We start from the raw sequence: 14,905 nt of genomic DNA on the forward strand, positions 1-14,905 counted from the left end.
GAAACCCGGCTGGAGTGAGGGTGGGAACTGGCTTCAGTGCACGTGCAGCTGGAGATTGGTGAGGAGGGCCGGGGTCAGTGTGGGCAGAGCCTGGTGGAGGTCATTCCAAGAACGGGAGGCATATTCCTTATGCTGGACTGAGGTCAGATTTTAAGAGGAAGCCCCTTTTGTTAGAGTGGGCAGATTTTTCCCTCTGGGGACATTGGGTGATGTCTGGCAACATTTTTTTTTTTTTAATTTTTGTCTGTCATGACTGCAGGATGCTACTGGCATCTCGAGGCCAGGGATGCTGGTCAACATTCTGTAATGCACCTGACAAAGCATCATCCGGTCCGAAATTTCACCCATACTGAGGCTGATAAATACTGTGTTAGATGGATCCTGGACATTTTACAGTGGAGATGAATTTCCTTGACATAAAACTTGTATTTTATTAAAATAAATAGCAACTGCCCCCAAGAGAGAATTTTCACATTAAGCAGAATAATCTGTTAAGGTGATTGTTCAAAATGTTGACTCCTGGGCCCCACCTCCTAGCGCTTAGGATTCAGTATTTCTAGAACATGGCCTGGAACAGTGCTTGTAGTGAGCTGCTCAGGAAGTTGTGATACAAACAGGCCCAAACACACTTTGAGACACCACCTTATTGCCTTATCAGTCATCGCAAGGACAACTCAGATCCTTTTTGAGGGCAAGGTTTGACCTTTAATGTGTTCCAGGGCTGGGGAGTCTAATGGTAAACCTCTGGGTTGCACTGAAGAAGATGGGAGCTTGATGGCCATCCAAGAGTAACGCGCTTGGATCTTATCAGATAGGACTTTTTGGCCTAGAATTCTAGAAGTTGCTTATGCAGCCAAGGTTGTCTGTAGCGGACATTTTGCCCCAAAACAGGATGTACAAATAAATACAAATGGTGTCCAAGTCCTTGGGAATAGTCGAGAGATGACTTCTTTTACTTATGTGCCCACCACTCCCTACATCACTATGTAATGTGGGGTGGGAGGGTGGGTAGAATTCCACTCCTTAGACACAGATTTCTGCAGTGAATCAAGGTCTCCAAATTCAGGCTCTGGGAACTTCCCAACACCACTGTTTGCCCCACTCCTCACCTTTGCCCCCATGAAGGCAGTTTTCCCTCATGGTCTCAGGCTCACCACCCCTCCCAGGATTACCCTGCCCAGTTCCCTGAGTGCACATCAAAAGCTGCCAGCCAGCCAGGACAGTGTGCAAGAAATCGGCAGCCTGTGTGGGCTCTAGAAAGGGTGGGTGCAACCCCAGGGGAGGAGGCACAGGCCGGCCTGAGGATTCTGCATCATTGAGGTCTGCAGGGCCTAAAAGTCTCGCACAGACCCTGGGAGGCCTGAAGTCCCTGCGTCATGTGCCCCCTGCTCCTATGTCTATTTATAATGTTTTTCTTTTTCTCTGAAGGCTCATATCCTCCTTTTAAGACTCAGCCTAGGTGCACCTGTACCAGGAAGCCTTCCCCCTCCTGTGTGATCCCCTTAGCCTAGACTCACCTGCTTTGCTGTGATTGCCTGTTTGTGAGCCTGTCTCCTTCAAACAGGGGCATCTTATGGGCCCAGCACACTCTCCTACAGTGACCAAACTTTCTTTCTTTTTTTTTTTTTTTCACTTTTCATTATCTTATCTCATTGGAAATTATACATAATGTAAACGGTAGAACGTGATTCACTGATTTTTTTTTTCCTTAGTTTAATACAAGTGTGCTTCACTTTAAGCAAAATATACTAAATGATTTCTGAGACAGGAGTTTCCTTACTTTTTCAGTTAAAAAGATTTGCTTACAGAATTTCTTTAAATAACAAGGCTTCTTTGGCCGGTTTAGAGTATTCAGATCACAGAAATTGATTTCACACACAACTTCTTTGAAATACCTACATTGCATAAAATGAGGCACACAGATACATGTGCCCATTCCATCGAGATTGCCTCATTATTTTGTGTTATTTTATATTTTTCATTTTGTCATTATTAACACTTTAGCATACCAGGTTCATTCACTCTCTATTTTAGTTGAGATGAGTTAGTGTTTCTAAGGAGTGTTTCGTAATCTCTTGTCCCAAACTAGGCTAGTTTGGGAATCCAGTGAGAGTGACTGAAAACTGAAATTCAAGTCCTGAACATCCTTCCAGAACACAGCCTATCACCCTGTGGAGATAACACACAAACTATCTCAGAGGACCCCCACCTGTGGAAGTGAAAATCATGTGAGAGTCATAGTTCAAAAGAAAAAAGTGCTGGGCACCGTGGCTCATGCCTGTAATCTCAGCACTTTGGGAGGCCGAGGTGGGAGGATCACTTGGGCCCAGGTGTTTGAGGCCAGTCTGGGCAACAGAGGGAGACCCTGTCTGTACAAAAAATTGGCCAGGTGTGGTGGCTCACGCCTGTAATCCCAGCACTTTGGGAGGCTGAGGTGGACGGATCAGCTGAGGTCAGGAGTTTGAGACCAGCCTGGCCAACATACAGTGACCAAACTTTGATTTGCCTGGGACTTTCCCGGTTTTAGCACTGAAAGTCCTGCATCCCGGAAAACAAAACCCCTCTGTCCTGGGCAAACCTGAGGACTGACCGGCACCAGCAGCGGAGTCAAGGCCTCCTCCCAGCTGTGGGGCTCTAGGGCTTCATGCCACCCTGGGATGAAGAAGGAGGGAGGACGTTGGGAGAGCGCAGGGGGCTGGGTTTTTGCCAGTCCCTACAAGTTCCAATTCAACATCTCCAACAGGAAGCTCAATGCCTGGTCTGCAGAAGGTGCTCAGTGCATGGAGTGTTGTTGATATTGGTGTAATTTGTGAAGTTCTCCACATTTAAATTCCTTCTGCTGAGGTATAGCCCCTCCCTGCCCTCTCAGAGGAAACGTGTTTCCTTGCACCCCAGAATGCTGATCAGTACACTTCCCTCTCTGAGCTCCTGGGGCCTGGGGCACAGAGCCTTCCCCCCTTGCAGATGGCTGGGGGTCAGCCCCCATGCCATGTAATGGGAGAAAAGGAAACAAGGTTTTGCTGTGTGGAGCCTGCTTCTGTATTTCAAACTATTGAAATAAGACTGCTAAGGGCCAGGCACAGTGGCTCACGCCTGTAATCCCAGCACTTTGGGAGGCTGAGGCAGGCGGATCACCTGAGGTCAGGAGTTCGAGACCAGCCTGGCCAACATGACAAAACCCCGTCTCTACTAAAAAATAGAAAAATTAGCTGGGCATGGTGGCAGGTGCCTGTAATCCTAGCTACTCGGGAGGCTGAGGCATGAGAATCACTTGAACCTGGGAGCCGGAGGTTGCAGTGAGCTGAGATCGTACCACTGCACTCCAGCCTGGGTGACAGACGAGATTCTCTCAAACAAACAAACAAACAAACAAACAAACAAAAAAGACGGCTAAGAATTAAATGCCCCAGAGGGTAAGTGATGGAGTTGATTGTCCCAAAGAAGAGCAGGGCAGAGGGGTCTGACCAGCAGACCAGGTCCCTAGAGGTGGAGGCTGTGCAGAGGTCGCCTGGCCTAAAGTCTGGCCCAGGCCCCAGCCCTATCCTGGACCCAAGATGCTCACCCCATACCTTAGGCATCTGCTCCAGGGGGTTTCCTCACCACCACTACCCAAGGGCCTGAACAAAGCAAACTCATCCTCTACATTGGCTTCCTTCAGAAGCCTGCTTTTCATGCCCCAATCTCCAAAAAGCATGGTCCACTGGGCACCGCCAGCCTCCTGAGATGCTGCTGTGAGGGGCTGAAGCTGGAAATCCATGGCTGGAACCTGGCCCCTGAGAGGCAATGAGTGCCCTGGTTCCAGGCCCTCCCCTGGATCACTGTGATGACCAGAGATCACCTGCAGGGCCCAGAGAATGCAGCTGGCCTTCTGATGGATGGTGGCTTCCAGCACACTAGGGCCACACTAGGGCCTTGCTCAAGCAGGCCTGGAACTCCACAGGCTTGACTGGAGAGGCCTGAGCAAGCCAGTGGGCAAAGTGACCGACCAGGCAGAAGTTAGCCCTGTGGGCCTCTGTCCAGGACATCAAATGCAATCATTGCCTGGAGGATTATTTAATGCCATGTTGTATCGGTCATCTTTTATGCTCCATTTCACAGCCTGTCAGCCCAGCTGTAATCTCTCAGTGCCTGATTTAGCTTTCTTGCCTGGGCTTCTCTGCCAGGCAGAGCTGCTTAAGCTGTTCTGGGACAGCTGCAAACCGGCAGGTGCAAGGAATTAACATCCTCTCGGGGCAACCTGCAGCTGATAGGGGATGAGTAGACACATTCTCCCCACAGCCCTGAGGCTCACTCTACAGCTTCTTCAGAAGGCCCCCAGTGATATTGAGCCTCAGCTGCCCACAGTGGTGTCAGCTTAACAACACAGCCATAGACTGGCCAAGCCTCCTTCCCAGTTTCATTCTTCCCAGTCCCTGATGCCTGAGCCCATGGATCACTTTCTAGATGTGTGTTCCTGCATGCAAACCTTTGTTGCAGTTTCTGCTTTTGGGAAGAACTCAGCCTGAAACACAAGTTTACTTCCTCAGATACCGACACATCCTGTTGTGCCAAACTCAGATTTACTAATAACATTTTACACATGCATAGTACTTTACAGCTTACAAAGTTCTCATTCTAGCTACGACAGCTGTGTAACCAGTTGCCCTAGAACTTAGTGGCATCACTATGACGACATCACTCAGGATGGAGCCGCTCATGATGCTCAGAGATTTTGTGTGCCGGGGACTGAGAGGGTGCAGTGGGCATTGCCTTTCTGCCCCTGATGTCTGTGGCGGGTGTCACATGGAATGATGAGGGCTCACTCACATTTCTGGCGAGTGGTGCTGGCTGCCAGAAGCTCTACTCCTCTCCATGGGTAACTTCTCACAGCATGGTGGCAGGACTGTCCCTCCTCAGCCTCTGAAGTCAGGCAGCATCATTTCTGTTCACCAAGGCAGGCAAGCACAAAGTCTCACCTAAGGTCAGGGAGCATGGGGCCATTTTGGGAAAATACAATCCCCCATGGTTACTTCCCACATTATCTCCTTTGATTCTCACAAAAGAGACTGTATCTAATCTTTGAATCTGCAGTGCTGAGGTCAAATAGCAGGTGTGCATGCAGTAAATCACATTTGCCTTGTGGACAGAGACAGGTTTTAGAGTCAGACTGATCTGCCTTTGAATCCTGGTTTCATCACTTAGCACCTGTATGATCATGGAGAAGTAATTTAGCTTCTCTGAGCCTCAGTTTCCCAATCTTTACAATGAGGGCCAAAATACTCATTTCCCTTGCTGATGCTAGAATTTGATGCAGTTGTGTGTGTAACATGCCCAGCAGGCTCCTGACACCTGTGGGATGTTCGGCTTCTCTCTCTTTCTTCCTCTTCTACTCCATCCTACCTCCCACCTCCCACCTCTTGCACTGATGAGCATCTTGGACTTCCCAGCAGGTGCAGGGACATAGGTGAGCAGAAAGCATTTAGACACGTGTCCAGGGTCTTGACAACAGGCTGGAGTTTGGAAGAAGTCCGGATAAGCAGCTACAGTGCCCTCTGTCTTCCTCATCCCTGGACACATCCCGCCCAGCCCAGAACTGAGAGCATTAACTCAGCTCCTCCGATGGAAGACTCCCTCGTACAGCCTCAGAGTCTCAGGTTTCCCAGGTGCCCTATAGATTCTCCCAGAGTCCCAAGGGCAGTGGGAAAGCCTGCTCCTCTCTCCCAGGGGCCTTGCCCAGACTGCAGTCTTGCTGCCAGAGGCCTAATAGCTGGTGTTCTGGGTGTACCACTGTGGTGCAGTTTGTCTCACCCCCAACCCCCTGATGGTTTGGGTCTCTACAGCTTTCCACTTCCCACTGGGTTGGGCCCTAGTCCTGACTCCAGAAGTGAAGTGACTTTTGTTCCAGAAGGTGCGGTATTCACAGTCTCCCCTGGGCCTTTGCACATGCTGTTGTTCTTCTGCCTGGAATGTTCTTCCTACTTGCCCACATTGCATGTAAAACCCTATCTTGGCTTAGATATTACTTCCTCAAGGAAGCTTTCTCAGACCTCTCCCTGCCAAGGTGGGCACACAGTACCTGACTTGCCCCTGCGGTATCAGATCTCACTGAACTGTAATTGTATTTACTTTGTGTTTTCCTCCCCACCAGGCGGGGACGCACTTGCCCCATTCACAACTGTATCACGTAGCACAAGCCCAGCACCTTTGATGTGAGATAAAAATGAATGCATTGGCAAATGGACACGTGGTGAATGAATGAATGAGGCGATGGATTGGTGCTCCCTCACCCAGGGCACATGCCTTCCTTGCAGCCCTCTTTCACCCCTTACTCAGGGGTGTGCATCTGATTCCTGAAGCATCAGAGCGGCTCCCCACCCTCCAGCCAAGTTTCCAGCAGAGCCTGCCTGGGCATCGCTTCCAGGATTACTCCTGGACCAACTTCGCCTGAGCATTTCTGCAGCTTCATCATCTGGGGAATGTATAAAAATAGTAAGTGGTTCCCCTGGCAACCACCACAGCAAATGGTAACTAGGGTGGGCGGTCCAGGAAAGCCTCGAGGCTGGGAGGAAAACAAACGCCGCCCTCACTGCTCACTCTCCAAATCTTGGCTGGCCAGCGTGCCCTCTGAGCTGCCTCTCCTAGTCTCATGGCTTCCTGGAGACCACCTGCTCTGAAGCCCAAAGGAAAATAATGGGCTGGAGGAGCTGCCCCATCAGCCCAGACCATCCGCCCCGTCAGTCCCTGGGCTGCTGCCCCTGCGCCCTCTCTGTAGGGTCACCAAGGGCCTCTTCTGGCTGCCCTGCCCTGTCCAGTGCCTTATCTGGGTAGTCAGAGGACTTCAGAAGCTGCCAGCGGGAGACTCAGCCTTGCTGCCAGGGTCTAATATCGTGTGTGCATGTGTGGACCCCTTGTGCTGGGCTGACCAAGCCCCTTCACGACAGTTTGGTCTCTGCCCAGGTCTTCAGCTTCCCTGCCCTCCAGCCGGGCTCATGGCCTAGCTCTTGCAAGTTTACCCCTCCACCAAAGTTTAGTGTAGGTGCTGCCCAAGGCTCAGATCTTGTCACCACTACCTCCTCTCTGGGATGATTAGAGGGCATGGGGCTTCTGCATGCTAAACCCTTGGGGTGACAGTTGGGAGCACGGGCTGGGAGGGTGCTGGGAAGGCATTGCCAAGCTGGCTGCAAACCGTCCACAGGAAGCCAGGCTCTAGGAGATCCTGAGAGAGGGAAAATCCAGCAGCTGAGACACTAAGCGGGGCTGGAGGCAGAACCTGGAGCGAGTGTGACCCTGAGGTGTCAGGGAGCGGAAGCCTAAGGTCTCCAGTGGGTGGCTGGTGGGTGCAGCTATTTCAGAGTAGCCTGATCAGCCAGGCTGCTGCTGTCTTTTCCCTGTGTGTGAGCCAGGCTTTTGCTCCCCTGCTGTCCCCCCGCCCCCTTGGCTGCAGTTACCTCTACCCTGTCCTTGCCTCTCCCAGCTGAAGCCTACTTCCTGCCTCACTGCCCCTGCCCCTGCCTCTTGTCCAAGTCGGTGCTGATGGTCATTGCAATAGCGGCACTGGGCTAGCATGAGCCAGGTGCTGGCATGCCATGTTTGCGGCTTAATTTATTCTCTTCAAGGTGGTACTAACATTTGGTTGGGTCTTAGGAAGCATAAGTAACTTGCAAGGGAAACTACACCTCTGACAACTGAGAGGTGCTGGAGCTGAGATTCCAAGGCAAGTCTTCCTTCCAGCCTGGCCACTTTCCATTCTGCCCTGTTGTGCTTCAAGATCGAGCCTTCCAGGGAGCTCCACCCCAGGGCCATTGGAATTAGGATGTGGCATGCCGAGCTGGTGGCAGAGACTCTAAAATCATAGCCAGGGAAGGTACCTGGAGGTCCTGTGGAGAGAGACTCTACTTCTGTGTGTGTGTGTGTGTGTATGTGTGTGTCTGTCTGTCTCTCTGTCTCCCAGGCTGGAGTGCAATGGTGCAAACTGCAACCTCTGCCTCCTGGGTTCAAGTGATTCTCCTGCCTCAGCCTCCCAAGTAGCTGGGATTACAGGCACCTGCCACCACACCCGGCTAATTTTTTTACTTTTAGTAAAGACAGAGTTTCACTATGTTGGCCAGGGTGGTCTTGAACTCCTGATCTCAAGTAATCCTCCTGCCTCGGCCTGCCAAAGTGCTGGGATTGTAGGCATGTGCCACTACACCTGGCCTTGTTTTGCTTTTTTTTTTTTTTTTTTTTTTTAACACATAGTTTAATCCTTTAGTTAACAAGTATTTCTTGTGCTCTAGTCTTCACAGAATTCTGTGGTGAACAAGACCTGCTGTCATTTGAGAGAGGCTCTCTCGGACTAAGGATGTGTGATACAGGCTCAGGGTACTAAGCCCCATGGCATCACCCAGAGGGAGGTCGTGGGACCCAGGCCCACCTGTGGGAGCTCAGAGCCTGCTGGTGGCAGCTGCAAGCCACCCCAAAGATAGGAGAGGTCATAGTGGCTGTGGTGGCCGGTGATGCCCACCTGGAGGCCATGTGAGCTGTGGCTGGGACTCCCTTGTCTAATCTCCCCCATATTTCTGGATTTGGCCTCCACATTGAGGAATCTCTTACTACTCAGGATCCCTGAAATACATCTGTTGCCTTCCTGCCTGAGCCCTCTCACTTCTTCCCCTTTCCCGTTTATCCATGACCCTCCCCTTAACTGTCACTCATAACCTCTGTCTGATTCACACCACTGCACTCTCTCTGCCATTCCTTCAAAGATCAAGCAGTTTCCTTCTGTTAAACAAAATGTATGGGAGGCCATTATTTGGACTGACCTCCTGCATTAGGGTCCAACAGACCCATCCAAAATGGAGTCACTCACACTAAGGTTCCGCACCACGAAACCAAAAACGAAGCTGTTTACTTGGATCTGAGCTTCTGAGAAATCAGGAGAGAGTTGATAGTCATATCCCATTAGGCTAACAAGATCCTCAATAAGGAAAGTAACTTTGAAACGGCCAATCTGCATCTTATTTCTTGTTTTGGCTTTCTTCAGCCTTTTCTGCCTATAAGCTCAGCCCTTAGCTCAGCTCATGGGAGTTCCTTTTTATTTTGTAGACTGGATACTGCCCAGTTCATGAATTGCTAATAAAGGCAAACTAGACCTTTACAGCTCAATTTATTGAAATTTTGTTATTTGATACGTCCCACAATTTAACAATTGCACCTGATTTCACATATCCATTAATCAACAAAGGAGATGCATATTTCTTGCTTATTATATGTCCAGCACTGCCCTAGGTCCTGGTTTTGGGGTGAGGTGGGAGGAAGGATCGATTAAAATAAATGCAGGAACCTGCTCTGCTCTTAAGGGTCCCCAAAGAGGAGAGCAGTGGGCTGAGTTGCAAAGTGGTTTCTCTAGGACCAGGAGCTGTGGAGATCCACAGGGATCCCAGCCACAGAGTCCCCAGCAAGGCAGGCTTGGGGTAGGAGCTTGCTGAAGGGTGTTGGTTTTTTCTTGGACACTTCTGTCCTGGTCCGACCCACCAGCAGCTGCCTGCATGGGACGACAGTGCCCCCTGGTGGTCAATTCCGGGAACTCTCCAGCAGCTGTTTTGTAAAGCCCAGAGGATTAAGCTCCCTCAAGAACTTCTATTTTTGGTTCCCAGTATTTCCATAATGAAATGCTAACAGAAGCAGCCAAATGGCTTCCCAAAGGACCTGAAAGCTGCACTGCCGAACTCCTGTGTTCTCCAGCTCTCTGCTTCCCAGGGGTCAGATCTGCTGTTGGTTCTCAGGGGCAGTTCTCTGTTCCATACGGTTTAATTAAAGGGTCCCAGGGAGAGCAACTATATGTTTGCCTTGCCGAGTCTGACCTCAGGCTGTGTGCACATTCAGAGTGACGTGTTGGAAAGAACACTGGATCCAGGATCAGGAGGCTCATCCCACGCCAGCCGCTAAGTAGCTGTGAGATAATAATTTCAATAATAGCTACATTTTATTCAGTATTTACTCTGAGCCAGACATTGCACCAAGAGCTTCACATACATTGTTGACTTTGATCCTCACAACAAGCCTGTGAGATTGATACTGCTGTCATCTCCAGAAATCGAGGCAGAGAGAAGTCAAGTAACTTGGCCAAGATCATACAGTATGTGGCAGAGTTAGGACTTGAGTTCATGTTTCTGGGCATCCACTATGCTACACTGAACTGTGGAACTCAAAGAATCGGAAACTAGTGGTAGTGTCCAGACACTGATGTTTTTAAATGTTCCCCAGGTGATGGTGATGTGGAGCCACCTTTGTAATCTATAGGGTCCCACCAGCTATAACACTCAATGAGCCCCATGCCTTCCAAGAAGCAGAGGTGAAGTTGGGATGAGGGGAGAAGCCTGGGTTCAGGCCCTAATCTCCATGGATGTACAGGGCTGAACAGAGTCACAAGCACAGCAGAAACACCATGATGGCAGAGCAGTCATCCTGCCTGCTGTCCTCTTTATCTGGAGATGGTTTGTAGGACAGGAGAGCAATTGCCTTCCACAACATTCCTCAGAGTTCGTTATGTCGCATACACCCCAATCTACAGATCCATCACCTGTCCATTTATCTCAATGCCTCTAGAGCCATTTTCTATTTTTTAATAGATTCATTTGACAAACACTTGAGACTTATGATGTGCCAGGCCCTGAGTCTGCAGGGGTGGAAGAAGCTGGCATGGCCCCACTCTTGTGAGTTGGCAATCTAGAGGAGGAGATAGACAGACAGCACATTTTGGAAAAAAAAAAAGCACACTGTGACACATGCTCTGAACGACACAGCAATGCACAGTGGTGGAAAACAATAGGAGAGCAGAGGGACCTAATAAGACAGAATGAGCTGGGATTAAGCAGAGACCAGAAGAATGTGTTTAGTGTGTGCCTCCTGTTGGTAAATGAGCTCTGTTGTGTTCACTACACACTGGGCAGTTTGGTGCAGAGCTTGCTTTTCCCTGGGCCTCTACTGGAGTCCCCTCCAGGAGACATGGGGTGGCTGCTGTTGACATTTTCTCCCTGAAAGCCCAGGTATCTCTCCAGAGATGGAGAACTCTGAGCTTCCTTTTTACAGAAAGGACTCAAACTGGTGGCTGTTTGGGGATGGGACGATGATGGGTGATGTTTGAGGCCGGAGTTTCAGAATCAGAAAAGTCTCTGTAGTCAAGGCCTTGAGGTTTGCTGACTTTGCGTGACACCCAAAGCGTAGGACCCACAATCAAATCTGTGGAGAGGGCGCTTGTGGTCCATGTGTAGGTGTATACCTGTGAGCATAGGCAAGTGTGCGTGCACACATGTGTGCATGAGAGCAGGCTCAGGCTTCAGCTCCTGGTCACTCTAGTCCTTCTTCTATTCTCTCTTCTTTGATGGTAGGGCTGGGACTTGGCAAACCACTTTTGGCTTTGGCAGCTGCTTCCTATCGGATTCAGCCAGTAGGGGGTGCTAGAAGGACACTGGAAAGCTGGAGGGAAGCCCTCTTTTTCTTGTTTACTTCTGTTCTTGTAAGCGGCTCCGGTAGTACTTCTTCACCCCGGCAGCAGCAGTTCCTTACCATAGCAGCAGCTAAATTCAGTTTACAATCTTTCTAACACTTGTAGAACTAACTTCACCCCTAATTCAGAGGCCAACACCAGCCGGCAGGCACCCCCCACCTCACCAGATGTCTGGTTCCAGCCCCACAAGGTGCTCCTGTCTCTAAGTTTTAATCATTCCAAATGCACCCCTTTGCTGCCTCGTCCTTGGGGTGGTAGTGCTTCCTCCATGATACCTTCTTAGCATCTCTGACATTAGTGTTAAGGGGTCCCAACCCCTAACATGAGTTTCCTGGACTGTGGGGGGCCTTTTGTGCCCTTCTGAGCCCTGGGGAGATCAAAAGCAGTTGTCTAACCCCTCGGTGGTTAGTAACTGCTCTACTCTGAGAAAGAAGGGCTGGCTTATCCTTGGAGAGGCCAGTAATTCTGTTCTCAGCTCTTCTCTCTGCGGGCCTCCACATCTCAGGAAGAAAGGACAGGTGCCATCTCAGTTCCAGTCATCTTAGCACACGCCTCCCTCTCTGCCTCCCTGCTGATCTGCACCTTAGCTGTGGCCTGGCCTGGTCTCAAAATGCTCCCAGGAGGAGAGGCCATGGCCTTCTCCATGCCCACCCTCCCTCACCAAGTGTGAGCAGAACTGATGGAGAAGCTGGGCCGAGGGAGGAGAGAAACTCGAGTGGGAGACCTTGGGGCCGTTGGGAGAGGGTACAGAGAAGGTTGCTGCCTCAGATGCCGTGGGTTTCTGTTTCCTTCCCCATTAGTGTCTTTCTCATGGAGAAAATCTGTTTTCCTTGAAGTAACTTGACTGAGTCTTTGACTGGTTCTCCTTTGCAAGGTGAACCCAAGAAAGAAAAGAAAAGACAAGGAACCCAACATCCACAGAGGACCTGCTATGTGGCAGGAAGTGCTGGGAGCCCTGAACACATGTATGGCCCTCCTCGAGGACTGACTGAGCAGCTCTGGCTGATGGGGGTGTGGCTGAGGGGGAGGAGGGGAGGGGCTAGGAAGACAGTCTCAGAAGAAAGAATAATGAACACTAGATGTGAAAACTTCCACAAAGCAGGTGGCCCACCAGGCAGGATCAGAGCAGTTCCCTGCCATTATAGAGTTTCCTTTTGCCTAGCTCTTCTGTGTTTGTATTGGGGTGGTGTGTGTGGGGGGAACACAGTTTTGTTTTGATCATTTATAAAGCTTTACTGAGGTATAATAGATACACAAAAAAATCACATACATATAAAGAGTACATCTTGATGAGTTTGGACATATGCATACACCTGTGATACCATCACCAAAATTTAGGTACTAAACATCTCTATCGCCTCCAAAAATTTCCTTGTGTTCTTTTGTGTTTTGGTTTGTTTTTTTGGTAGTAGGAACACTAAACATGAGATCTATCCTCTCAACATATTTTAAAGGGTGCAATTCTGTATCGTTATCTACAGGCACCATGTTGTACAGCACATCTCCAGAACTTACTCATCTCGCATAACTAAACTTTATACCCATTGAGCAACATTTCTCCATTTCCCCTTCCCCCAGCCCCTGGAAACTGCCCTTCTATTCTCTGCTTCTATGAGTCTGACTATTTTAGATACCCATTTAAGTGGAATCATGCAGTATTTGTCGTTCCGTGTCTGGCTTTTTTCACTTAGTATAAAACCCTCTTGGTTCCTCATGCTGTTGCAATTGGCAGGATTTCCTTCTTTTTTAAGGCTGAATAATATTCCATTGTATGTATTTGTCACATTTTCTTTATCTATTCATCTGTTGATGGACATTTGGGTTGTTTCCCTATCTTGGCTATTGTGAATAAGAAAAAAATACAGTTTCTCAACCCAAAGCAAACAAAGAAACATTGTGCAAAATATAAGTGTTGACAGAAAGGCAGGCCGGGAGGGTAAACAATGGCTGGCATACAGCACAGATCAGGCTTCTGAGAGAACCGTGATGCCCCGGGCACACCTCTTCTGCCAGGACTAGCTCACTGGGGGAATTTGTCAGTGCTGTGCAGACCCATAGGTCTCACCTGGTTCTGGTTTGTAGAGGGAGGCAGTGGGACCCAGGCCCACCAGTGGGAGTTCAGAGCCTGCTGTCAATTCTGCCTTTTCTGCCAGGGCTGTGTCTGAAAGGACTGATAAAAAATGCTCCTGTGTTTGGCTCTCTCTGCACCATTTTAAAACTCTTCGATAGTGATCAGCACAGCTATTAAAAGTATCAGGTGGAAATCAGCCACTCAGGGCTGACAGGTGGCTGATTCTGACCCCCACTCCCCAGCCATACATGTCTAGGGTAGAAACCGGTCACATAAACAGGAACTACAGTCTTTCTCAGGCTTTGCACTTGTCCCAGCCTCTGAGCAGGGCCTCTGGGCCTCCCTTTTGGGCTTGACCCAGCAAGCATCCTACCTGAGCTCACTCCTCACCTGCCCAACTCCAGCGATCTGGGGTGATATCTGCAGGAGCTGCCCTCAGTGCCTCCAAAGCTCGAGAAGGTGCTACATCACAGGTAGAGGGAGGGATGCTGCCTGTGAAGATTTCCTCCCCCACAGAGTGTCCCGGACTGCCGTGGTGCATGGCGCCCTCCTTGGAGGGGAGACACGTGCATCTGCCCTGGGCCACATGTCAGTTCTGACGCTGCATGGCCGTGTGCTCCCTGGGTCTCACCAAGATTCTTGGGCGAGCAGCCTTCCCTGTAGTCTCCTTAGGCTCAAGCCTTCAAGGACTAGGCTAGAGGCTGACCTGAGTGACCAGCACCAAGCGGTCCTCCAAGCTGTCCCTCCTCCTGGACCTCCCCAGCGGGGTGCTCATCACTCTCAGACCAAGACCTCTAGTCTTTCTCTTGGGATGAGTTATTTCTCATCCTTAGTCTCTCACACCAGTGTACTCCTGGGGTCCCAGCCCATAAGACATGTCTGAGTCTCCCCTATGCAAACACCCCACTGTGCACAGGTGTTGTTATCCTCATGTTGTGGGTGGGGAAACTGAGGCTCTGAATGTCAGATGACTTGCCTGAGGTCACTCAGAGTCTCCAGATCCCTAACACTGAGTCAGCCCTATGCTCACCACACAACGCTGTGTTACACACCACCTCACGGTTGTGGCTAAAAGTTATGCTTTGAGGTTGTCACCTGGCTCTGTCCAGGGACCCGCAGGCTGTTCTGAGGTTGGACTTTGGTGGTTCCCATGTAGGCCCAGCATCAGAATTGCCTGTGAAACTTTGAAAAACTCAGGTGCCAGGGCCTAAGCCCAGGGAATTCTGACTCACTAATCCAGGTGGGCTCAGGTGCACAGGTGTCTGTAGAGTCAATTCTCATTCTTCATGGTAGTTATGTTTTATAAAGTCTCTGTGAACACTGAATGAGCAGATACTGAACCTTTGCGCCTAGGGGAAACACAGGGT

General features: G+C 50.0%; 3 annotated features.

The window, feature by feature from the left end:
- Positions 6,177-6,996: an enhancer, noted in NCBI's record as "H3K4me1 hESC enhancer chr1:212626055-212626874 (GRCh37/hg19 assembly coordinates)". NCBI's record gives its function as "activates a minimal SCP1, AML or CMV promoter by ChIP-STARR-seq in primed H9 embryonic stem cells {active_cell/tissue: H9 hESC(primed)}" and the evidence as "EXISTENCE:reporter gene assay evidence [ECO:0000049][PMID:30033119]".
- Positions 7,075-7,244: an enhancer, noted in NCBI's record as "experimental_3589 CRE fragment used in MPRA reporter constructs". NCBI's record gives its function as "activates a minimal promoter by MPRAs in K562 erythroleukemia cells, with activity observed for the introgressed 1:212627038 variant allele {active_cell/tissue: K562}" and the evidence as "EXISTENCE:reporter gene assay evidence [ECO:0000049][PMID:34662402]".
- Positions 14,491-14,660: an enhancer, noted in NCBI's record as "experimental_3606 CRE fragment used in MPRA reporter constructs". NCBI's record gives its function as "activates a minimal promoter by MPRAs in K562 erythroleukemia cells, with activity observed for both the introgressed and non-introgressed 1:212634454 variant alleles {active_cell/tissue: K562}" and the evidence as "EXISTENCE:reporter gene assay evidence [ECO:0000049][PMID:34662402]".

This window comes from Homo sapiens, chromosome 1 (assembly GCF_000001405.40).
Source record: "Homo sapiens chromosome 1, GRCh38.p14 Primary Assembly".
NCBI lineage: Eukaryota > Metazoa > Chordata > Mammalia > Primates > Hominidae > Homo > Homo sapiens.